The sequence below is a fragment of the Homo sapiens genome, chromosome 3 (genome assembly GCF_000001405.40).
Source record: "Homo sapiens chromosome 3, GRCh38.p14 Primary Assembly".
Lineage (NCBI taxonomy): Eukaryota > Metazoa > Chordata > Mammalia > Primates > Hominidae > Homo > Homo sapiens.
The window spans coordinates 4,686,228-4,711,340 of NC_000003.12; the positions used below are offsets into that span (position 1 = coordinate 4,686,228).

General features: G+C 41.2%; 1 protein-coding gene and 1 long non-coding RNA gene across 5 annotated transcripts in view; one reads left to right on the forward strand and one right to left on the reverse strand.

Annotated features, from left to right (window-relative positions):
* The window catches only part of ITPR1 (inositol 1,4,5-trisphosphate receptor type 1), a 354,159-nt gene that overhangs the window by 192,880 nt on the left and 136,166 nt on the right, over positions 1-25,113 (forward strand). For all 4 annotated transcript variants that reach the window (NM_001378452.1, NM_001099952.4, NM_001168272.2 and 1 more), the window contains 8 exon segments: positions 2,268-2,393; positions 4,917-5,117; positions 7,263-7,514; positions 10,920-11,045; positions 13,586-13,714; positions 16,603-16,723; positions 19,940-20,124; positions 24,098-24,246. In NM_001378452.1, coding sequence (NP_001365381.1) covers positions 2,268-2,393; positions 4,917-5,117; positions 7,263-7,514; positions 10,920-11,045; positions 13,586-13,714; positions 16,603-16,723; positions 19,940-20,124; positions 24,098-24,246 — 1,289 coding nt within the window.
* LOC124906210 (uncharacterized) lies at positions 18,997-24,125 on the reverse strand. The gene is made up of 3 exons (XR_007095797.1): positions 24,042-24,125; positions 21,002-21,225; positions 18,997-19,462 (listed from the first exon to the last, which is right to left on the reverse strand). It is a non-coding gene; the product is annotated as an uncharacterized LOC124906210 (long non-coding RNA).

Genomic DNA, 25,113 nt, shown 5'->3' on the forward strand with positions numbered 1-25,113 from the left:
CCTATGCCTGTCGCCTTCTACTCCAGGAAATTTCCTATGAAAGGATCCTCCTCCTCAGTCATGGGGACCATATGAATCGGGCAGGTCAGGCCTTTCGGTAGCTATAAATAAAGTCCAAGCTTAATCCCTGTCGTAGGTATAATACCTAGCTAACTTGTAGTTGATACAGGTGTGCATTATCATCCAAACTTTGCCTGTCATTTAGACTAGAACCAACAAGCTGATCTACTTCCTTGTGTGTAAGGAACGCGAGGGGGTCATTTGCTAACCATAGTGTTGTCTCATAATATCATCAGTTTCCCTAATGAGAGTTATGCCTTCATAGAGCAGGCTTAATCTACAGGTAACCAGATGTGGTTGGAATTGGTGACTCAAAGGAAGAATATCATGTGTGTGTATATCTGTGTGTGTACATGTGCACGCTTTTGTTTGCTTTTGGATGGGCACAGACTTCCAAAGAACGGTGGAGGAATCCCCCACAGGTAATCTCTTGTGACTTGATGTCTTTGGGGCTTGCTTTCCTTGGAAAAATCCGCTTCACACCACAAGGGTTCTTCACTTAGCTTGTGCACCAGCAGATTCCTTTTATACGGAAGGACTGGAGGTGTGTGGAACTGTTTAAGGTTACAGCTGTCAACCAGCAGTGGCTGTCTGTCCCAAGCCCTCTGATTTCTTAGAGCTAGAAGGTTCACCACCCCTCCTGTTAATAAGGGACAAATGTAATCCCCATTATGTTGTCCTGGGACTTGCTATTAATGTCCTTGTAAATTCTCCTCTGTTTTGGTTTGATTGTCAAAGCTGGGAGCTCACCTTCCTCCCACAACTCTGTTTTGTCACAGAGTTATTTTTCTAGACCAGGGGTTAGCAAACTACAGGCATGGGCCGAATCTAATCCACCACCTGTTTTGAACAGCATATCAGCTAGGAATGGTTATTACATTTTAAAATAGTCACATAAGTACCTACATAATGTCCTTGATACTCCCTCTCTACCCACAAAGCCCAAAGTATGTGCTGCCTTGCCCTTTAAGAAAAAGCTTGCTGACCTCAGTCTAGCCCGGAACCAAAAGCTAACATTTACAGAGTAATCACTGTCTAAGCACTTCATGTGACTTTTCTCACTTAATCTTCATAACAATCACATGAAGTGTGCACTTTTGTTATCTCCTTTTCACGGATGAGTAAACAGCGACACTGAGAGGCTAAGAAATGTGCTCCAGGTCACACAGCCAGGAAGTTGGAGATCTGGGATAAGAGTAGCGCAGTCAGGTTTGGTGACCTGCATTCCTACCTGCTATCCTCTCTTGCCTCTGAAATGAGGTGATGGCTGTGAAGACTTAGGAAGACTATTGTGGGCTGTAAGAATATGAAGGATGATTTCCAGTTTAGAAATTCTTGTTCTGTTTTTACTCTCTTAAATGTTTGCTTGTTTAGAATTGGACAAAATGGCCATGGGTTTTATAGAATTGGCTTATTACGGAATATTTAACTCTAAAATACTGAGTTTATGCTATTAATGTATGAATCACATAATCCAACCACGTGAAATGCCAGGGAGGGTATTATCCCCATTTTGCTGATGGGAAAACTAAGTCTGAGGTTAAAAATTGTACTTGGGATGATAGAGGAGTTACGGCAGGCACAGTTGCTCTAATGTGTGATCTCAGGAGATTTCCACTTTGCCATGGGAGCTGATGGCAAAAGTTAATGTCTAATAGGTCGGACAACTTAAAAAGGTGAACCCAAGAGGGAAAATGACTACTCAGCGTCAGTGAGGAAGTCAGCCCCAGTTCTGTTGTCAGTCCCTGTTTTTGTTTACTTTTAAAATTTTTATTATTTTTATCTTTTGTTAGAGATGGGTGTCTCACTATGTTGGCCAGGCTGTTCTCAAACTCCTGCCCTCAAGTGATCCACCCAAAGGGGTGGGATTACAGGTATGAGCCACTGTGCCCAGCCCGTCCCTGTCTTTAGAAGTAGGGGGTTCAGAAGTTTCAGTCCTTGCTGGATAATGGACTCATGGATGCCTTCTATTAGCCTTACTCTGCAGTGCTCCCTCCCACCCAAATAAGATCTTCACTTTCATCCAATGAGCATAGACAAGTTACTGGCTTCTTTTCAGCGTCAGCAGTGCAGCCCCTCAATATTTACCCACAACAGGTCCCCAGCAAACACCTTCTGACTCCCACGTTAGCAGGAGGTGTTGGGTATAGGAGAAGCTGGTCTCCTGGCCCAGCAATCAGTGCTTTCATCTGTCTCCTCCCACACAGGCCGAAGATACCAAGATGCAAGAGATAATGAGGTTGGCTCATGAATTTTTGCAGAATTTCTGCGCAGGCAACCAGCAGAATCAAGCTTTGCTACATAAACACATAAACCTGTTTCTCAACCCAGGGGTAAGACTTGAGGCCAATCTGCAAATCTATAGAGGGAGGAGGGCAGGGAAGAGGGAGGAGGAACAGCTTGTTCTTTGGCTGTTGTGGCTTCTGGGGCTTGTTATAATGCAACATTCATTCCAAAGGGGAACATTTTCATCACTTATCACGAGGACATAAATACTCATCTTTTGGGGATGAGATGGCAGGAGTTGGGGAGGGGAAAAGGAGGAAAGTGAGATGGATAAAGTAAGATACGTGTCTATATTTTCCTAGTCAAGTCCTTCATTGTATCAAACTTCAGCAATATAGAAGTGCTAAATGTCTCTCCTGCCACCTGCTACTGAAGTCATGCATAAAGTTTTCTGTGGCTATGTATACATATATAATATTTCCATATCAAACATATCTGTAATACATCTTAGTTTGTTAAATATATTTCTAGAAGTATATTAAATGTATTGTAGGTTTTGTAAAGAAAAATGATGCCACACTCTATGCATTGTCTTGTGTTCTGCTTTTTTCACTTAACACATTATGGATGCCTTTGCAAATCAGAGAGATATAAATTTTTCTCATTCTTCTGATGGCCAAATGACATTCCATAGAATGGCTGTAACTTTTAAAAAAACATTCTCATATTAATGGACAGTTAGGCAATGTCTGATTTTTAACTTTGTAAACAATACTGCAAAGGACATCTTTGTGCATGCACACACTCACTCACTCAGTAGTACTGCTAACACTTTCCAGAAAAAGGATTGCTGGATTGTAGGATAATATAGGTTGAGCATCCCAGATCTGAAAATCTGAAATCTGAAAGACTCCAAAATTCAAAACTTTTGAGTGCCAGTGTGATGCTCAAAGCAAACACTCATTGGAGCATTTCATATTTTAGATGTTTGGATTTAGGATGCTCAACCAGCAGACTATAATGCAAATATTCCCAAATCCAAAATGTGAAACCCTTGTGCTCCCAAGCATTTTGGATGAGGGATACTCAACCTGTGTTCCCTCAGTGTCATGTTAAGAGAAAGAAAAGTCAAAAGATAAAAAGATTAAAGCCACCACCTCACCCCAAATATAAAACTCAATAACTGTGGGTAAAAAGTGAAAAATAAGCCTTCTAGAAGGTAACATGAGAATCTTCATGGCTGTGTGGTAAGCAAAATTTTCTTACAAGGCATGCAAAGAACACTATTTTTGAAAATTGATAAATGGGCCTTCTTTTAAGAACTTCTGTTTGTCCGCTGACACCATTAAGAGCATCCAAAGGGGAGGCAGAGAGTAAAAGACATTTGCGATGCACGTTCTCAACAAAGAATTCATATCCAGAATGTACATAACACACTCAAAAAAGTCACTAAGGAAAAAGTTGACCTTCTTTTAAAAATAGGCCAGGCATGGTGGCTCACGCCTGTAATCCCAGCACTTTGGGAGGCCAAGGCAGGCGGATCACTTGAGATCAGGAGTTTGAGACCAGCCTGGCCAACATGGTGAAACCTTATCTCTATTAAAAATACAAATATTAGTTGGGTATGATGGTGAGCACCTGTAATTCAGCTACTTGGAGGCTGAGGCAGGAGAATAGCTTGAACTCAGGAGGTGGAGGTTGCAGTGAGCCAAGATTGCACCACTGCATTCCAGCCTGGGTGACAAAGCAAGACTGTATCTCAAATAAATAAATAAGTAAATAAGAACGTAAAGGCAAAAAACTTGAACAGACACCCTGTTGGAGAGGATATCCAAATGGCCAGTAAATGTGACAAAGTGTTCAACATGATTAGACATCAGAGAAATGCAAATTAAGTTATGTTTAGCCACAATAAGATGTGGCTAAAATTTAAAAGACTGACAATACTAAGTGTTGACAAGGATAGGAACAGCTGGAATGTAGAATGCAACTTGTTAACATCTTTTGAAAGCTGTCAGTATCTTCTAAAGCCAAACATACTCATACTTTGTGACCCAACAATTCTGTTCTTAGACCCAAAAGAAGTATGGGTTTAAGTTCACCAGAAGACATGTGTAAGAATGTTCACAGCAACTCTAGTATTTATAATACTAGGAATGTTACTATCTATTAAAACTGGATCCTACTCCAAATGCCCTTCCACCATAGAATAAAGATACTGTCATATATTCATGCAATGGAACTTACATATCAGTGAAAAAGAGTGCAAGAGGTTTAAGAACAGGCAAAACTAATCTGGTTATATAAGTCAAAATAGTAGTTAAATTGTGAGATAAGGCATAAAGGAGACCTGTTTTGTTTCTTGATCTGGGTGTTCAAGGTCCCTTTATAATCTATTCAGCTGAATGCTAATGAGTTGTTTACTTTTCTGTATGTTTATTTATATGTCAATGAAAAAAGCTTACTAAAAAAGAAGGTAGTACAGAAGCAAGAATGAGAGAAACATATCTTCATGGGTTTAAATGCTTCCCTTGTGTGTGTTTCAGTGGACTCTTCTTTTTCTCACTTTTTAATCTGTTCTGTCAGCTTTTTGACTTGTCCCTGTGCTCTTTTCCTCACTCTTGTGCCAGATCCTGGAGGCAGTAACCATGCAGCACATCTTCATGAACAATTTCCAGCTTTGCAGTGAGATCAACGAGAGAGTTGTTCAGCACTTCGTTCACTGCATAGAGACTCACGGTCGGAATGTCCAGTATATAAAGTTCTTACAGACAATTGTCAAGGCAGAAGGGAAATTTATTAAAAAATGCCAAGACATGGTTATGGCCGAGGTGATTGTTATATATTTCTGTATACCTCCATCTGGTGTTCTGTAGAAATTTTAAAATTATTTAATCTTATCTGTATGAACTTGCACCCTCTTCAGGAGCCATACAGAAGGACAGAAAGTAATTGTGTGTGCATATGTCTGTGTCATCTCTTGTGTGAGCTTAAGTTGTAGATATAGGCAAGAATCTGATCTGATATTTCATAGCAACCAATTTAAGGAAGGATGGCTTGGATTTTTCTGACAGGGGACAGAAAGAGGAATAAGGAACTGAATTATAGGGAATGGAGATAAAATGTAGTCAGGACCCAGTGAGCCAGAACGCTTCCATTCTTGTGGATTATGAATTTTAAAAATTATTCACCTAATTAATTAGATGGAAAAAATTTTGCCTGATGCTTTTTGAGGAGCAGTTGGTCTGTGGAATCAAGGAAAAGCCTTACTTGGTTTATTATGAATTCACTTTGATTTACAATCTTGTCTACGTATATGGTTCCATTGGCAGGGAGGGTAGTGTGATTAAGAGTTGAGGCCAACGTGGTGGCTCATGCCTGTAATCCCAGCTCTTTGGGAGGCTGAGGCAGGAGCATCACTTGAGGCCAGGAGTACAGGACCAGCCTGGGCAACATAGTAAGACCCTTGTTTCTACAAAAAATTTTAAAAATTAGCTGGGTGTAGTGGCATGTGCCCATAATCCCAGTTACAGAGGAAGATCCCTTGAGCCCAGGATTTTGACCTTGCAGTGAGCTATGATGGCACCCACTGCACTCCAGCCTGGGCAACAGAGTGAGACGTTGTCTCTTAGAAAAAAAATAAAAAAAAGAGAGAGTCGGCTCAACCTGGGATACAAATGTCACCTGAACCCCTTCACTGAAGGGTGCCATGAGATACATTACTTGACCTTTCAACTCCTCAGTGAGCTTTTCTATAACATGAAGATACGCAGATTTCACTTTAAAGAGTTGATATGTGGGGTAAATGAGATAATGGTGACATTAATGCCTAACACTTTTTGGAAGCCGGTCATACTCTAGGCACAGTCCTAAGCAGTTTGTCTATAATAAATTATTTAATCTACATAGCACTGTGAGTTAGCTATTGTATTTGTCCTGGTTTCACAGATGAAGAAACTGAGATACAATGAGGTTAGGAAGTTTGTCTAAAGAGTTTATCTTGGTATCTGGCATCTAATCATTAGAGCTCATAAAGGTTAGTCATTAGTAAGTATTGACCATGTTTATTTTGACTTCTGTGCCAGCCCTTTCTGGGTTTTTTGTACTTCATGTACTGCTGATGAAATCGATTTATTCTTAAATAAATTTGCAAGAAGCCTCATCTTAGGGGACAAGTTATAAACAGGAATGCCTCAACTTTTTGAAGAGTAAGTATGGAGAGGAAGGCATATCTTAATTAAAAGTAATTTGTTGATTGAAGAGATAAGATGGTAGATGAAAGAATTGTAAAGGGGATACATTGTAAAGCATAAAAATAAGATGGAGGCAGGGCACATTGGCTCACACCTATAATCCCAGCACTTTGGGAGGCCGAGTTGGGTGGATCATCTGAGGTTGAGAGTTCGAGACCAGCCTAGCCAACATGGGGAAACCCCGTCTCTACTAAAAATACAAAATTAGCCAGGCATGGTGGTGCATCCCTGTAATCCCAGCTACTCAGGAGGCTGAGGCAGGAGAATCGCTTGAACCAACCTGGGAGGCGGAGGTTGTGGTGAGCCGAGATCACGGCATTGCACTCCAGCCTGGGCAACAAGAGTGAAATTCCATCTCAAAAAAAATAAATAAGATGGAAACATTTAAAAAGAAATATCATAGCCTAATTGGTAGGTATGGAAATACCAGTGCAAGCTTGCAATCTCTGTTTCCACTTGATGCATTAATGCTGGTATGCAGGCTTTCTCTTCCCCTAATAGCTTTCTAGGGCCAGTGTGGTATTTCTGTATCTGTGGACTAAAATTATGATGCTGAAGATTTCTAGTTGTTCAGTTATATAAATGAATGAAGTCAAAATAGGTAAGACTGATTTGGGAAGATAAATGCTAACAGAACCTCTCTCTTCCTCTGTGAATAGATTTTTTTCATGCTGCCCCACCCCTGCAAGCTTGTAATCTAAACCCACCCTGTTCTTTATGTAGCTGGTCAATTCGGGAGAGGATGTCCTCGTGTTCTACAACGACAGAGCCTCTTTCCAGACTCTGATCCAGATGATGCGGTCAGAACGGGATCGGATGGATGAGAACAGCCCTCTCATGTACCACATCCACTTGGTCGAGCTCCTGGCTGTGTGCACGGAGGGTAAGAATGTCTACACAGAGATCAAGTGCAACTCCCTGCTCCCGCTGGATGACATCGTTCGCGTGGTGACCCACGAGGACTGCATCCCTGAGGTGAGCGAGCCCAGCCTGGCTGTGCCCTTCTCGTTGCTATGTGGTGTGTGCTGTCGTGGCTCACTGGGAGACATGGTGGTGGCTGGCCTGGGGGAGCCCTCATGGCTCTGAAAGCTGCAGCTCATTTTGTAGTGGGATTTCAGTTCCCTAAAACATTTTCTCGAGCATTGATTTTGCATGAAAGGAACACGGAAGAAGTTAGTCGTTCTTTCTGTATCTTTAAGAACAGTGAGGAAAAAAGCTTCAGCTCTGTGGACTAATTTAGCCTGTTGAGCAAAGGGGATATGACCTGAATGAACTTTTCAGAAATGTGACGAAGAGTAGGTTGAGATCTAGTCCATATGAATGTAAGACTTAGTAAGTTAATTCTTTAAAACAAAAACCCTTATTACAGAAATAATGGCCATTATAAAAAATTTAGGAACTACAGACAATCAATTAAAAAAAAAAATAATGAATACCTAAGTTTTGAAGTTAATCCTTCCAGGCTTCCTTTTTTCCTACTCATAGATTATATTGATTAGTAATGAAAAACTGGATTATAAAGTATATATTTATGATATATAAAGTATATTATAAAGTATATATTTATGATATATAAAGTATATTATAAAGTATGTATTGTAGGTTTTACAATGTGTAATATTAGTTTGTAGTACACATTTATATTACATTAAAATATATGACATATATCATATAATGTTTTTAGGTTATTTTGAAAAGCTAAAAACAGTCATGTGTCGCTTAGTGGTGGGGATATCTTTTGAGAAATGCGTTCTTCGGTGATTTCCTCATTGTGCAAACATCATACAGCGCACTTACACAAACCTAGATGGCACAGCTTGCTACACACCTCGGCTATATGGTACAGCCTCTTGCTTCCAGGCTACAAACATGCACAACATGTGACTGTCTCAGTACCGAAGGCAATTATAACACAATTGTATTTGTGTATGTAAACATGGAAAAGGTCCAGTAAAAATTGGGTATTATAATCTTATGGGTCACTGTTGTGTATGAGACCCATCATTGACCAAAATGTCATTAGTCAGTACCTGACCATACTCTTTGAAAAGTTCAAATATCAAAGACTGTAACGGGGTAAACCATGAAAAGTCTTATAATCTGTTTTCCCACCACCCTACAGAAAATAATTTATTATGTTCTTGTGTATTTTTCTAGAATTTTGCACATAAACGCATACAGTATATATACTTTACTTCCCCACCCCCTTTTTGTAAATGCAGAAGATGATACTCTAGGTATACTATTCTGTACCTTAACACTGTAACTTCTTTTCATATCAATTCATAAAAAGATGCCAGATGTTTTTTTACAGTTGCATAAAATGCCATTGTATAGATGTACTGTCACGGCCCTTTGTAAGTGTGGAACTAATTTATGATGTAATGAGATAATAATGAATAATTAATTGCTGTAATAAGAAAGCAATGAGATTGCATTCTTTTCACAGTCTTGGCCACAGTATGTTATCACACTTTTGGGTTCTCATATATCTGGCAGGTGAAAATGGTCATTTCAACATAGTTTTAATTTACAGTTCACTTGTTATGGATAAAGAAGGTAGAGTTATAACTAGTATTAGGGATGAGAGAAGCGTCGTGTTATAACAAGCATTAGTTTGTTTTTTACTCTTTTTTATTTGAAATACAACGGAAGTGCAAAAAAGTACATAAACTCAGTTGTATACTGCAAGAACGATAGAACGATTATAAAGAGAACAGCTTTGTAACTGCCACCCAGGTCAAGAAATATGCAAAAACCTCCCCCCATTCCCCTTTCCTGTCCTCACCTCCCCCAAGGGCTGTCTCCTGAGGGTAACCACAAGCTGATTTTTATGTAATCCTGCAGTTGCTTTTCTGTATACATCCCTCAACAATATAGTTTAGTTTTGTGAGGTTTTGGACTTCTTCTGTGTATCATTCCATGCCTTTTTAAGTTCAGTTCTGTGTTGTTAAGGTTGATCCACCCTGATATGTAGCTGCGTTCATTTCCTTTGCTTTGGAGCATTCCTTTCTATTGTGGCACCATGATAGGTTTTTCATTCTTCTACTGATGCTCATTTTAGTTGTTTCCAGCTTTTGGCTGTTAGGATTGTGCATACATCCTGGCCCACATGTGTACACTTCCGTCCAGGGTGTGTGGATAGTCAGAAGTGGAAGTGCTGGATCACAGGAGGTGCATTTCTTCAATTTGATGTGATACAGTCCAGTTGTTTTTAGCATGGTTGCTCCAGTTACCATTCCTCCTCCCAACCCTGCTAACATTTGCTATCATCAGATCCTTTATTATTTTTTTCAATTTGATGGTTGTATGATAGTATCGCATACCAGCTTAATTTTTAGAAGCTTCATGGAGATGTTTACAGATATGATTCACTTGTTTAAAGTGTACAATTGAGTGGTTTTTAATATATTTGCAGAGTTGTGCAATCACCATCACAATTTAGTTACTGAATATTTTCATCACCCCAAAAAGAAACCCCATGCCCATTAGCAGTCACTTCCCATTTCCTGCCAACCCCCCTAATCCTAGGCAACTGATTGTCTTTCTGAATATATGGATTTGCCTATTTGAGACATTTCATGGAATCATACACATGTGGTCTTTTATGACTGGATTTTGTCACCTACATGATTTTTCTCAAGGCTCACACAAGTTGTAGCATGTATCAGCACTTCGTTCCTTTATGTTGCTGAGTAATTTTCTATTCTATACATACACCACGTTTTGTGTGTCCATCAGTCAGTTGATGGTGATTTGGATTGTTTCCGCTTTTTGACTATTGTGAATAATGCTACTGTGCACACTTGTATACAGGATTTTGTATAGACACATGTTTTCATTAACCATAGTGGTTTTAATTTCTACGTCCTTGCTTCCTAATTGAAGTTGAGCCCCTTGCCGTGTGTTTTTTTTTTTTTTTTTTTGACATTTGATATTCCTTTAAGAAATATCTGATCCGGTTTTTTGCTTACCTTTTCTCTGGGGGTATCTATCATATAAGCACAGATCTAGGGGCATTCTTCATTGTTACACGCCTTGCAGATATCTTGTCCCAACTTGGGCCCATTTACCTCTTGAATGGTGCCTTTTTATGAACAGAAATTCTTAATTTCAAATAGTCAAACTTGTCCCTGTTCTGTGGTCAGAGGTTTTGCCTCATTCTTTACCTTGAGATCATGAAAATATTCTCTTCCAAAAGCTTTATGGTTTTGGATTTCATAATTGTGAATTTCAAATATCAGAAAATCATAGAAGTAAGACTTGGCAGTGGGGAATGGGATGACCATTTTCATCGGTCCTTGCTGTGAAGTTGAGGCAGCTAATGAGTTCCATACACACCAAGATGGTTTTTCAGAAAAGCTTCTTTCTATCTTGCAGGTTAAAATTGCATACATTAACTTCCTGAATCACTGCTATGTGGATACAGAGGTGGAAATGAAGGAGATTTATACCAGCAATCACATGTGGAAATTGTTTGAGAATTTCCTTGTAGACATCTGCAGGGTAAGGCTTTTGGAACTGAGGAGGCAGAGTTGGAGAGTGAGAGGTGTGTGTGTGTGTGTGTGTGTGTGTGTGTGTGTGTGTAGCATCTTTGTGCACACATGAAGAAAACAGCTGCATCATTTCTACTCTAATCCGTGGCATGAGGAGGCACTTGTGACTTTCTTCTCATGTATCCTTTCTTCCTTTTTTTTTTTTTTGAGCTGGAGTCTTGCTCTGTTACCTAGGCTGGAGTGCAGTGGCACAATCTCAGTTCACTGCAACCTCTACCTCCTGGGCTCAAGCAATTATCCTGCCTCAGCCTCCTGAGTAGCTGGGATTACAGGCACCTGCCACCATGCCTGGCTAATTTTTGTATTTTTAGTAGAAACAGGGTTTCATCATGTTGGCCAGGCTGGTCTTGAACTCCTGACCTCAAATGATCTGCCCACCTCAGCCTCCCAAAGTGCTAGGATTAGAAGCGTGAGCCACCACACCTGGCCATTCTTCCTACCTTTTGCTCTTAGCCGAGAATGGATGTTATTTATCAATCTGCAGGGAAGAGAGGTTATTTCTGGTTTTCATGTCACCCCTGTGGATTGGTTGGTGAATGATAACCTGGGCATATTAAAATTCAATTTATAAGGATTTATTTTCCTTGGTAATATGTCTGTGCTTGAAGGGCACTTCCCTGAGCTTGAGCATTTGTCTCCTGCAATCTGAACTTGAGGATTCTGCAAAACTCTTCACTTCCATTTACTGCTTTCCTGGCTCAGCCTCAAGAGTGGCCTTAAGATACTTCATTTGGTTTTGCATTGGGCCTAATATTCATGCTAAAGCCACAAGACTGCCACATAACAAGCATACCACAGATTTAAAATGAGTTTTGTGATGGTGGAATTTGGCAAGCAGATAGATTAAAAGATTCTTTAGAAGATAATTGTCAGATACATACCAGTTTCAGAAACATTGTGGTGTGAAAAAGGTGCACTGTAGAATCCTAGAATGTGGTATTTTCTGCTTGACTGTATGATTACTAGTGTGAGACAGAAGCCTATAAGAACTTATTTTCCTTCTGAGTGAGAACCGTATTTAGTAATATTTGGTCAGGTGTTGGTTTCACAGACATATTTTTTTAAAAATCTCAAACTCCTCCTAGTTTTTTAATCCCATTAGCCTAGGGATTTTGGCTTGGAATGGCAGGCCTGCTTTATTTGTTTAAATCAGTGCTCTGTGAAATTTTCTGTAAAGGACCAGATCGTAAATATGTTCAGCTTTGTGGGCTGTTCATCTCTTTCATGACTACTCAGTTCTGCCCTTCTAGCATGAAAGTAGCCATGGCAAGCAGATTTGGCTGTGTTCCAATAAAACTTTATTTATAAAGATAATTACTGGCCCTGATTTTGCCGATCCTTGCATTAAATTACTTAGAAATGCTGTAAAATCAGTTATTAATATCATTCTTGGAATATGTTCTCAGACTGTCTAGTTTTAAGGTGAGAACATGAGAGTCTCTTAGAACACTTGATTTTTATGTCATTCATTCTTTTCAGCATAAGCAATTTTATCTCTTAAATTATAGAACTAATGAATTCAGTAATAAAACTTGATTTTTTAAAAAATGTGCTAACCCTCTCAATGGCAAATCTTATTCTAGGCAGCAGAATTAAGCAGAGTACGGGTGAAATCGTAGGTGTCTCCTCACCCCAAAACGTGTATAGTCAGTTATTCTGAAATATGGCTTGCTATTTTGAACAATGTTGTGTATTGGTCAGATTTTAATTGAATGGAAGATTGTTGTAGGATTGGAGATGGTCAGGCCAGGTGTGGTGGCTCACACCTGTAATCCCAGTACTTTGGGAGGCCTAGGTGGGCAGATCCATTGAGTCCAGGAGTTCGAGACCAGCCTGGCCAATGTGGCGAAACCCCATCTCTACTAAAAAAAAAAAAATACAAAAATTAGCTGGGCATGGTGGTGGGCACCTGTAATCCCAGCTACTTGGGAGGCTGAGGCACGAGAATCACTTGAACCTGGAAAATGAAGGCCACAGTGGGCCAAGATCATGCCACAGCACTCCATCCTGGGTGACAGCGTGAGACTCTATCTCAAAACAAAAAAAGGATTGGAGACGGTCAGGTCCACAGGACCTCAGTAACATTTGACTATTTGGATGAGGAAACCATGGTCTAGAACCGAGGAATGGATTACTCAGGAGAGCAGTTTTCTTTTAGGGGAAATTTAAGACACCTGTAGTCACTGTGCTTCTTACTGCCGTTTGGGGTTTTGGATTTTCCAGACACACGTAGGAAGCTGCAAGCGGTGGCCTTGTTGGTCTCATACCCATTTTAATGTTTGTGATTTTGCATCATGATATCCAAGCTGATCTGCTTCTCTTTTTTTCATGATTTATATTTTATTATTATGATTCCTTAAGGGGAGAAATATTGGCCAGCAGGCCTTTACCTTTCATTTGTTAAAAGTAACCCACAGGAGGGAGTCGCAGATTTCTTAATGTTTGGTGTAGGTTTTGGTGTAATGCTTAACATACCCACTTGTCTTCCAGGCCTGTAACAACACTAGTGACAGGAAACATGCAGACTCGATTTTGGAGAAGTATGTCACCGAAATCGTCATGAGTATTGTTACTACTTTCTTCAGCTCTCCCTTCTCAGACCAGAGTACGACTTTGCAGGTAAGAAATAACCAACGTCAAGCAGAATGTTCACGATACACCTTCTGCAGTTGGGCTTGATGTGAATTTGGGAGTAAGCAATTGTAAATGAACTGGTCTGCAAGGCATTAATACAAGATATATTTCTCTTGGTGGAAGATAGCTTTGATGGGATTTCTTGGGTAAAGAAGTACCTGGGGATATTTTCTTATACTGAATGGTTCTGTTAACTGTTGATTTTCTCCTTGAGATCTTTTCTGCTTTTTTTGTCCTCCAGTCCTCTGCTTCCCTGCCCTCCAATCCTAGAGATAACATTTATAAAACATCTAGCACAGTGCCTGACACAGAGTAGGTGCTTTAATAAATGGTAGCCTGTGCTATTTCTGTCAGACTATAAGCTACATGAAGACAAAGTTATGCCTTACATGCATGGTCATCTCATATACTACTCTATCCCTTGTACCTGGCATTGTGACTGGCACTGAGTTGCTAATTTGTTGAACAAATGAATAAATGAGACTCAGGAGAGCGGTAGAGACCAGAGATAAACATGTACTGGTTGAAGCCTTAGCCAGGAAAATGAAGCGGTGAACGAAAAGGGACCTGGAGAGAACACAAATAATGGAGGATGGGATGTAAAAGAGGCAGAACAAGATCAGGAGTTTTCATGCAGGCAGGATGCGATTTGGGACCTCAGGAATGAAGAAAGGGGAGGATTTTAGGAAAAAAGCAGATGGTGAGCCATCGTGTCCTTTTGCTCTTCCAGGAGGTTGAGTGAGCTGATGTCACCTGTATTAGTGCATTTTCACGCTGCTGATAAAGACATACCCGATACTGGGCAATTTACAGAAGAAAAAGGTTTAGTGGACTCACAGTTCCATGTGGCTGGGGAGGCCTCACAGTCATGGTGGAGGGTGAAAGGCACGTCCCACATGGCAGCAGACAAGAGAAGAGAACTTGTGCAGGGAAACTCCCCTTTATAAAACCATCAGATCATGCGAGACTCATTCACTATCATGAGAACAGCATGGGAAAGACCCACCCCACGATTCAGTTACCTCCCACCAGGTGTCTCCCACAACATGTGGGAATTGTGGGAGCTACAATTCAAGATGAAGTTTGGATAGGGACACAGTCAAATCATATCCCACCAGATTGCCTGTTGCGTTTGGATGGTTAGCAGGTGGCTACTCTTATCCATTTAATCATCTTTTGTACACTGAGGTGTCAAATAGGAGCAGATCAGGTGTTCCAGGAATAGGGTTCAGTGGAATTCATCTAGTCAAGAGACACTGCTTTCTTTGAGCTGGGCTGTTGGGTTCTCATCCCAAATCCAGCACTTACTGGCTAATAGGGCAGGCGATAATGCACTGCTTCCTTCACAGGGTGATGGTGAAGGCTAAATATGTATAAAGTGCTTAGCACAGAGCCTGGCATGTAGGAAGTGCTGGGGGTAAATGACCGTTCTCATTGGGCCCTTTGAGTTAGCTCCAGAGCTAACAAGCAGCCACAAAACTCAGGGACTAAATCCTAGGTTTCCCCTGCCAGTTTCCCGGGCTGCCTCTGCTCCTGTCCTCTATTAGGAACACAGCTTACTATCTTGGGTGGCTGCAGGCAATAGGACAGAAAGTACTTCCTGAAGAAGGCAATGAGATTCTGGCTGCCAGGTGAACTTCATGGAAAGAGCATGGAGGTTTGCCATCAGAGACTCTTGCAGTTGACCTCCTGCTTTGCCGTCACTTCTCTTTTCTTTTGGATAATTTCTTTTATCCTTGCTGGGCCTTTGTTTTTCATGCGTGACGGGAAGGTAATTCCAAGTCACAGAATTGTTCACTGAGGCCTGAATGAGATCATATGTGAAATGTCTCACACATAGCATGCCCTTAATAAATGGAGATTATCTGAACCATGTTTATCAGGGAGGTTCTGAATTTTTAATTAATCTTTTTTATTTTCTTAAAATAGACTTCCTTTCTCCCCTGACGCTTTCCTTTTTCTTTCATCTCAGAGACCTCTTTCGGGGTTTTCAATACTTTTTTCTTTACTATATTAACTTCCGCTGTTTTTAGAGGGGCTATGCAAGTTGTCCCCTCTGAAACGAAAAGACCAGTTGAATAGCGCAGCACACACAGCTATCTATCTTTGCCTTGCTGGTCCAAAGCTACCCTTTGAATGGAGACCAAAACTATAATTTTTTAATGTACTCAGAAAGTCAGTGTCAAATTGATTCAGTGGATGTTTGAGTACTCTTACTTTAAAATGAGTATAAATTTATACCTTTGTAGAAAGGAATAAATCTTCTCATGTAACTTCGAAGTACTCATCATAATAAATGAATATTTATAAAGAGTAACTATCCGAATTCTCTTTATGTCATTGAAGACCTTGCCAGAAATAAAGAAGTAGCAGTCGAGGTGAGATCCACGTATCAGTTTGTTTTTGCTGATTAAAGACATGGGTTCTACTCAGTGGATATAATGTCTGGAAGGAACTTTGGGGTCAGTCTGCCTCAATCCACTTATTTTATACATTGGATGAAACTGAAGCTCAGAGAGGTGAAGTAATTTGCCTAAAGTCATGCAGCTGCTTGGTAACTGGATAAGAATACCAGTCTTTGAACTGTGGATCCATTGCTCCTTCTTGTGCTCAAACTTAGTTAAAATAGCATCAAGTTAATGCATTGCCCTAAAATGCTTCTGAGTTGCTCTCCCTTGGCTAGGTAACTTATGGAATTTAGCTCTTATCCAGGCATCCCCTCTCACCCTTGCCTCAGGGTCCATTAACAAGGCAGTGTCTGTCTCTGATCTGGGGTCCAGTGGTTCAAGACAATGTCTCTGTCTCTGATCGGATCATCAGTAGTCTACAAATAAAAATCTGTTTTTCACGTTGCCTCTTTTGGCTTCTTGCAGACTCGCCAGCCTGTCTTTGTGCAACTGCTGCAAGGCGTGTTCAGGGTTTACCACTGCAACTGGTTAATGCCAAGCCAAAAAGCCTCCGTGGAGAGCTGTATTCGGGTGCTGTCTGATGTAGGTAAGATACCAAGTCAGTTTGGATATACGTGATGAAAATGAATTGTCTGACAGTAGTAAGGCTGCCATTTATTGAGCACTCATTACAACTCTTCTAAAGTTACACAGACAGGAAGTTTCAGAGCCAGACCCGGAACCAAGGTCTTCTTGATTGCTGGGCTTCTTTTTTTATCTACCAAGCCAGCATTTCCCAAGGGAAGAGCCAGTGAGTCCTAAGTCAGATAGGCCTAGATAAACAAGCTTCCATGGTTGTTAGGCAATTCTTTGGCAAGTAACGATACACACAGCTTATTCAAGGCCCTGGGAAGTCCCTCATTCAAGAAACTAATTTGTTTAATCCAGCAAATGTACTTGACCATGTGGTAACTTTTTCCTGGAAAGCACCTGTCACATCCTAAGGAACACCCTTTCTCAGAAATGGTGCACTGCTCCCTTCTTCCCCTTGAGTAGAAATGATTCTCCATTTCCTCTGTGACTCCCCTCCTGTCCCGCCTCTCATAGGCAGCCTTTGAAAGGAAGTTAGGAAAATTTCTTTTTCCTTCATCCTGACTTTATCAGACTCCATGACTTGACCCATTCCCCACCCCCTATTAATGTTGTGCAAAGAGGTAAGCTTCCTGCCTGAAGTTGAGAAGAGAGTTACCTGCCTGGAGTGGCCTCTTAGATCCTTGCAGACAGTAACAAGAAGAGCAAGACAGGTGTAGTTCTCAGCATTATTTAGTGGCTGTCCAGCAACTGTCAATTGTGTAGGTAAGATATCAAGTCAGTTTGGATATACCTTGGGAGATACGTATAATCTATTAGGACTGTTGCCTGATTTCGGTAGTCTCTCGCCCAGTTCCTTTACTCTCCTATGGTAGGTGTTGATGTCTTTTTATTATTGGTGTGGCCGTATTTCACAGTAAGAAATTAGGTTTTGGAAAATATATACACGACAGGTTCATTGTGTTATATCTTAGAAACAGGGCCCTGCAATGAAATTCCCAGATAACCCTATACTTTTTCCATACAGGATTATCTATCAAAAAGAATGTGCCTGGTGAACTAATGTGGAAGTAGAAAGCCAAATACCACACGTTCTCACTTAAAGTGGGAGCTAAATATTGGGTCCACGTGGATGTAAAGATGGGGGACTACTAGAGGGGTAAAGGGGGAAAAGCGTTGAAAAACTACCTGTTGGAGGCCGGGCGCAGTGGCTCATGCCTGTAATCCCAGCACTTTGGGAGGCTGAGACGGGCAGATCACCTGAGGTTGGGAGTTCAAGACCAGCCTGACCAACATGGAGAAACCCCATCTCTACTAAAAATACAAAATTAGCCTGGCATGGCGGCGCATGCCTGTAATCCCAGCTACTCAGGAGGCTGAGGCAGGAGAATCGCTTGAACCTGGGAGGCGGAGGTTGCGGTGAGCCGAGATCACGCCGCTGCACTCCAGCCTGGGCGACAGGAGCGCAACTCTGTCTCAAAAAAACAAAAAAATCCCTACCTGTTGGGTACTCTGTTCTCTATCTGGGTGATGGGTTCGATCATACCCTAAACCTCAGCATTAAGCAATACACTTCTGCAGCAAACCTGCACGGGTACCCCCTGATTCTAAGATAAAAGTTGGAAAAAAGAAAAAAAAAAGTTGTGCTTGTTGAGGCCAAAGGAAACGTAGGAGGAAGCCCTTGCCACAGAGGTTAGTTTTTGTTTAATATTTTAGCAAGTGGTTGACTTGACTAGTAGCTCAGTGCTCATTAGAGAGGGGAAGTCTTTCCATTTGTCTTGGTGGTGATAAGACAAAAGACAAGGAGAGTTGATGTCTGTGGAACGGTAAGACATGAAAACAGCACTACCCAGAGTCCCCTCTGTGCCTCTTGGGGGTCGCTTCCTCATGACTAATACCACACCCAGAACCCACTGTGTTAGTTGTTTAGCTTATGAATATCCAAGGCATAGAGTTTCTAGCTGTGACGGGTGTACCCTGTGCATCCTGCTTTTCAATTGTTAATTATTTGTATTTTTCCAAATTTCCCACTTTCTATATTAGACTGTTAGAAAGTTGTTGGCTGGCTTATAGTTTTTTTTCCGCTAAATTGTGTGTGTGTGTATGTTTTTAAATGGGATTTAAATAATTGCTTCTCAGATTCCTCTTTCAGGATGTTGGAGTTGTTTTTACAATTAGATAGTTGAGTACTTTCTTTGCTTCTAGTGTTTTGAAGCATTGAAGACAGGAAATCATTGTTTTTTGGACATTTTCCCATATGGAAAAGAGTGATTATTAGTCTTAATTATCTTCCTTTTCAAAATCTTTTATTTTGGAATAATTTCAGGTTTATGGGACTGTAGCAAGGGTAATACAGAGAGTTCCCACAAATCCCTCACCCATTGTCACCCGTTGTCAGCATCTTACATTAGCAGGGCACCTTTGTCAAGGCTAGGAAACTGACACTGGTACAGTGCTATTACCTCAACTCCAGGCTCGATTCGAATTTCACCACTTTTCCCACTGCTGTCCCTTGTCATGCCCTTTTTCTGTTCCAGGATTTGGTCCAGGTACCACCTTGCATTTGGTTGTCATGTCTCTCCAGTCTCTTCTGGTCTGTGACCATTTCTCAGCCTTTCCTTGTTTCTTATGACCTTGACAGTCTTGACAAGTACTAGTCAGGAGTCCTGTAGAGTGTCTCCCATTATGGGTTTGACTGATGTTTGTCTCATGCTTAGACTGGAGTTCTCCTTTTTTAAGACGAAGAAAGAAGCACCTATCCAGAAAGAGGAGTTTATGCCATTGTGAATGCTACCTTTAGGATTATGTTTGGGATAACCCAGCATTTTTGTAGATTGTTGAACAAACCTGAAAAATAACTAGCAAATGATTCATTGGCCAAACGAGTTCCCTGTCTTGATTATTCTTAAAATACACACACACCTCAGTGACCCTAAGAAGCCATTCATTGAGGAAACCCATTGAACTTTAACTCTGACATGCCCTGGCCTTATGACCTGAGAGCATTTTAACATTCCTAAGAACTGCTTCCCCCCAGAATTCACACTGGGAAACCCTGACCTAAAAGATGGTAAAGTTGACTTGAGCTTCTCAGTCTTTAAGCTCAATACCAGGCAAGCTGGCCCATTCTGGGTGTGAAAAACCTGCTGGATGGGGACTAGGGCATTACGTCCATCTGTAGGGTGTCCCCCATAAAAGTTGTAGGCTCACGACTCATCTTTCTCCTGTGCAGCCAAGAGCCGGGCCATTGCCATTCCCGTGGACCTGGACAGCCAAGTCAACAACCTCTTTCTCAAGTCCCACAGCATTGTGCAGAAAACAGCCATGAACTGGCGGCTCTCAGCCCGCAATGCCGCACGCAGGGACTCTGTTCTGGCAGCTTCCAGAGACTACCGGAATATCATTGAGAGATTGCAGGTAATGCCTGGTGTTGAGAGAAGTGATGCTTAGCCTGGCCTCACGTGATTGCCACACACAGCAGTGCATCCTTGAGCCACAGAGCATCTAAGCTGGGCCGTGGGAAGATGTCGGTGTGCTGAACGAATAGTCAAATGTTATATATGTAGGGCCAGGAGTGGGAAGTTACTTAGGAATAGAAAAGTTCCTGAAAAGTGATGGTCTTTAAAGGTTACTCCTAGATTTGCAGATTTCTTGGTGAAAAATTGGGACTCTGCTCTTATTAGAAGGAAGTATTGAAGTATTACAGAGGATGTTTAGAGTAAGAGCATAAATGTTCCATTTTCCCCATCACTCTGGGGTTATTTAGCCTCTTGAATCAGCAGGTGAACAAGGGTGGTGATACCTGAGAGAAGAATTTTACATCAGAATGAGCCAGATGGAAACAAAAGTATTCCTTCCAGCTAGATTATTTACCTTTTTTCGTAGAATCTACCAAGACATCTGCTCTCCTTTTGTTAAAGGGGAGAGTAGTGAGTATTAGATGTTAAGCACTTAAACATGCATCTTAACATTAACGTATTTTTTATACAAGCACCTCAGTTGATGCTCTCACAGGTAGTACATAGGTCACAGTTTGAGAATCGCAGATCCTTTGAATGAGCCCACAAGCAGTGTTTAAGAGTGTAGTCTCAGGCCAGTGCCTGGGTTAAATTTAAATCCTGGCTCTGCCGCTTAGAAATGGTGTAATCTTGGGAAAGTTACTTGACTTCTCGGTCCTTCAGATTCCTAGTCTGTAAAACAGTAGCACCTACCTCGTGGGGTTGATGTGAGGATTAAGAGAGTTGATAATATGTCCCAGTTACCTGTATTTCGTGCAGTAAATCACAACAATTACCTTATTCTCTTTTGCTCTTCTGGAGGTTGACTGGGCTCCGCTAGCTATTTCTTGCTTAGAGTCTTTCATGGCGTTGCAGTCAGATAGTGACTGCGGTTGGACTCATCTTGACACCTTGCTCACTCGCATATTTGGCAGTTGATGCTGGTTGTCAGGTGGGACCTCAGCTGGAGTTGTCGACTGAAACATCTCCATATAGCCTGGGCTTCCTCACATCATGGCGGCTGTGTCCCAAGATGAGTGTGTGTAGAGAGAGACAAGTGAAAACTTTATTGTTGTTATGACCTAGTTTCAGAAGTCACATAGCGTCACTTTTACTGTACTCTTTTGGTCAAGGCAGTCTCAAAGGTTCACTCCAGTTCAGGGGGAGGGAATCTAGACCATCATTCAGTGAAAGGGATGTCAGTGTCACATTGTAAGAAGAATGTGAAAGACAGGATGTATTGTGGTATAGCCATCTTAGGAAAATAGAGTGCACATAAAACACATAGAGCAGTGCCTGGCATGTAGTGAGCACTCAGTTGAGGGCTGCTATTATTATTATTACTATTATTACTGTTGTTTACTGCTATGATTGTAATAGTTACTGAGTCTCTGTACAGTTACACAACCTACTTGAAGACAGATGAATTCGTTAAATCATTCATCAGCTCCATGCTAGGCTCTGGGGATACAGTGGTCAGCAAAACCAGAAATGATGATCTTTGTCTCATAGTATCTCAAGTATCAGAAGGGAGAAAGAGACATTAATTTTAAATATAAAATGGTGAGAGGGACAAGTGAGAAGTGCAGAGAAGTGAGGAGCGCTTGAAAGATTCTGATGAGGAAACTAATTTTGTCTGAGGTTAGGGATGAGGGTCAAGGAAGACCTTGCTGAGGAAAGTAACATTTTGAACCAAGATGAGAAGGAACAGCAGGACTTAAAGAATAAAAGGGAGGGAAACAGCATGTGTAAAGACCGTTATACCGAAAAGAAGATGAAAATAAAAGTATTACTCAATTCCAGCTAGATTATTCCTTTTTTTTCTTAGCGTCTACCAAGAGATCTGCTCTCCCTTTGTTAAAAGGGAGAGTCGTATTAGATGGGTGTTAAACACTTAAACGTGCATCTTAACTTGACCTATGAAACCCTGCTCTTATGAGCAAAGGAAGTTGAGTGTGGCTGGAGCCAGGAAGCTGGGGAGGCTGGCGGGATTTCTCGGGTCAAGTTAAGAATTTCAGCCTTTATCATAACACAACCAGTTCTTAAATAACAAAGAGAACCAGTTCTTGATTCCTGATGGAGTGCTTCCTGATCCCACTATGCTTTTAGAAAGGCGGGAGGGATGTTGTAGACTCCTCACTCCATGAGCATACAGTATTTTCTCGCCTGCTCAAATGAAACAAACTATCTGCAATCAAACATGCTGGTTTCTTGTGCTCTTCTTAGATTTATTATGCATATTCTTGGGAAGTTAAATGAAACGCGTAGGTGGGCAGTACTGTTCTAAGGACTTGGCCAGTGACGTAAAGGATTTGCATTATCCAGTTATTTACTGTCTGAGTTTTTGTGGTTGATGAGATTGCCTAGTGCAGCAAAAGTTGTAATATAAGAAATTCACTCGCAAACAGACCACTTCTATAATTAATCCCCATCTAGACATCCTTCTCACTTAATGCTAGCATCTTTCCCCGCCCATTGCTTTGCCATCTTTGTTGATGTCTCCTTGATTGCTGAATGCTATACATTTGACAGTACAATGCAAATCAATTGCAATGTAAAGTTCAAACTGTGCAAAAGATGCAGGATTTCATGAAATACATGAACATGATAAGAACAACTTTAATCCTGTGTAAATACCGTAGACAAAGATTTGCCAGAGTCAGGATCAATAACTATTGAAGAGAATATTGACTGGGTGCTTCCAAAAGGGATGCTATGGGGGGAACTGATAAGAGCCTCAGAATTTTGCAGAAATGACCCTTTTTTGACTGTGCTGTGAAAGTCAGTATGAACTAAGGGATGTTGCAAAGTACCGTCTTACAGTCTTGTTGGGAAAATTGCCCCACTCAAAATTATTTGATTGATTCATGTATCTTTATGCATCTTAAACCTTACTGAGTGATTACATTCATCACCCAAATTGTGTTAAATCTAAGATTAAATTATCTTCATGTCATTAGTTTCTGGATGAAAGATTAGTTAATTCTTTGTCAATCCCAACTGGGTCCCAATTTAAGCAGCTTTTCCCATGCAAATGTCCTTGGGTAACCAGGCCTTCCTGTATTATCCAACGTGCTGTGTTTGGCCCCTGTCTTAGCCAACATGCCTGTAGGCAGGTTCTGAGTCACCAAACCATGGAGCAGGCTTTAGCATCTTTTGAAGATAATTTCTCATCTGTTTTCTATCATTTGCCTTCAAATGGTGTTTGTTGTGTTGGTTTTGCTGCTCTTTCAACTTCTCTCTGTTTTCCTTTCCTACAGCTATGTGTTTTGCATTTGAAGACCATCATGCTATCAGGGTACATGTATTTAGCATGTTGATACAGCATGTTCATTCATTGGTGTCCTCATGTTTGTATGACTTTATTATGTGAATAATTCATGCTCATTGAAAATAAACAACACTGACAAGTATTTCTATATAGAAGAAAATCAGAATCACCTGTAATCCCACCACCCAGAGAAAACCAGTAGTAATGTTTTAATATTTGATGTTTATCCTTTAGCTAGATATTGATGATGTTTATAAAAATAGGATTATTATTGTTTGACCTTTGTTATGCCCATGTCATAGACATCTTTCCATGTTGTTAAATTGATTTTTTGCGTCATATTTTAAGCTACATGCAGTGGTACCTTGAGTAGCATAAGGGCCACCTTGAAAGAAGGGGTGGTGGGAAAGTTGACTTGTTTTCACTTTGTTTTCTGCATCAGAGGCTAATGTTTCAGGTAACCATTGGGCAATGTCTAATAATTTGAGATGCCAGACGGTACTAAAGTTACTCTAACCTAGCCTACCCGTGCATCAGTGTTTTAGGGCAGAAATCAATGTCCTCACCCTCCTGTGGTCAGCGTCTGCCTGAGCCGTTGACTGAGGCTGTGTTTCCGTTTTAGGACATCGTCTCCGCGCTGGAGGACCGTCTCAGGCCCCTGGTGCAGGCAGAGTTATCTGTGCTCGTGGATGTTCTCCACAGACCCGAGCTGCTTTTCCCAGAGAACACAGACGCCAGAAGGAAATGTGAAAGTGGCGGTTTCATTTGCAAGTAAGCGGCCTCTCTCTCTGGGGTGTTCATTTGCCAGAACCTTGATGACCTCACAAAGCTTTTGTTCCCGAAGAAGGAGACGTTGTCCTGTTTTTTAACTTTGATGAATGCAAGGTCATGTGCTAAAGTCCTGTTCTGACCTCCCCAAAGTAAGTTTGTCTATTAAATCCTGCTTACTGACACTTTTTTGTTTTGTTTTGTTTTGCTTTGTTTTTTGGTGAGAAGTTCTTATTTTCACTGCATGCCCATTCATTCATTCATTACAGTGCACCCACCGTGTGCTGTGGTACAGACATAAAAAAGCCATGATCCCTCAGCCCTCAGAAATCTCAGATCTATCGTGACCTCACCATCTTTTCCTAATAATTTTGTAATTTCTTAGTTTATGCCTTGTGCGTAATCTGTAAGCAACAAGCAGACCCATGGTTAGAAATCTCCATTAGATTTTTGCCCCAAGGCCGGACACGGTGGCTCATGCCTGTAATCCCAGCACTTTGGGAGGCCGGGGCTGGTGAATCACCTGAGGTCAGGGGTTCAAGACCAGCCTGGCCAACATGGTGAAACCCTATCTTGACTAAAAATACAAAAATTAGCTGGGCATGGTGGCGGGCTCCTGTAATCCCAGCTACTCTGTGGCTGAGGCAGGGGAATCACTTGAACCCAGGAAGCAGAGGCTACAGTGAGCCAAGATCGCGCTACTGCACTCCAGCCTGGGTGGCAGAACGAGACCTTGTCTCAAAAAAAAAAAAAAAAAAAAAAAAAGAGATTTTTACCCTAAGATTAGTTGTTTGTTTAGCTTGGGGCTGGACTCTGCATGTGAGTTTCTTACTTTTCTGGGCCCCTCTAAGGACAAGCTTGTGCATAAGG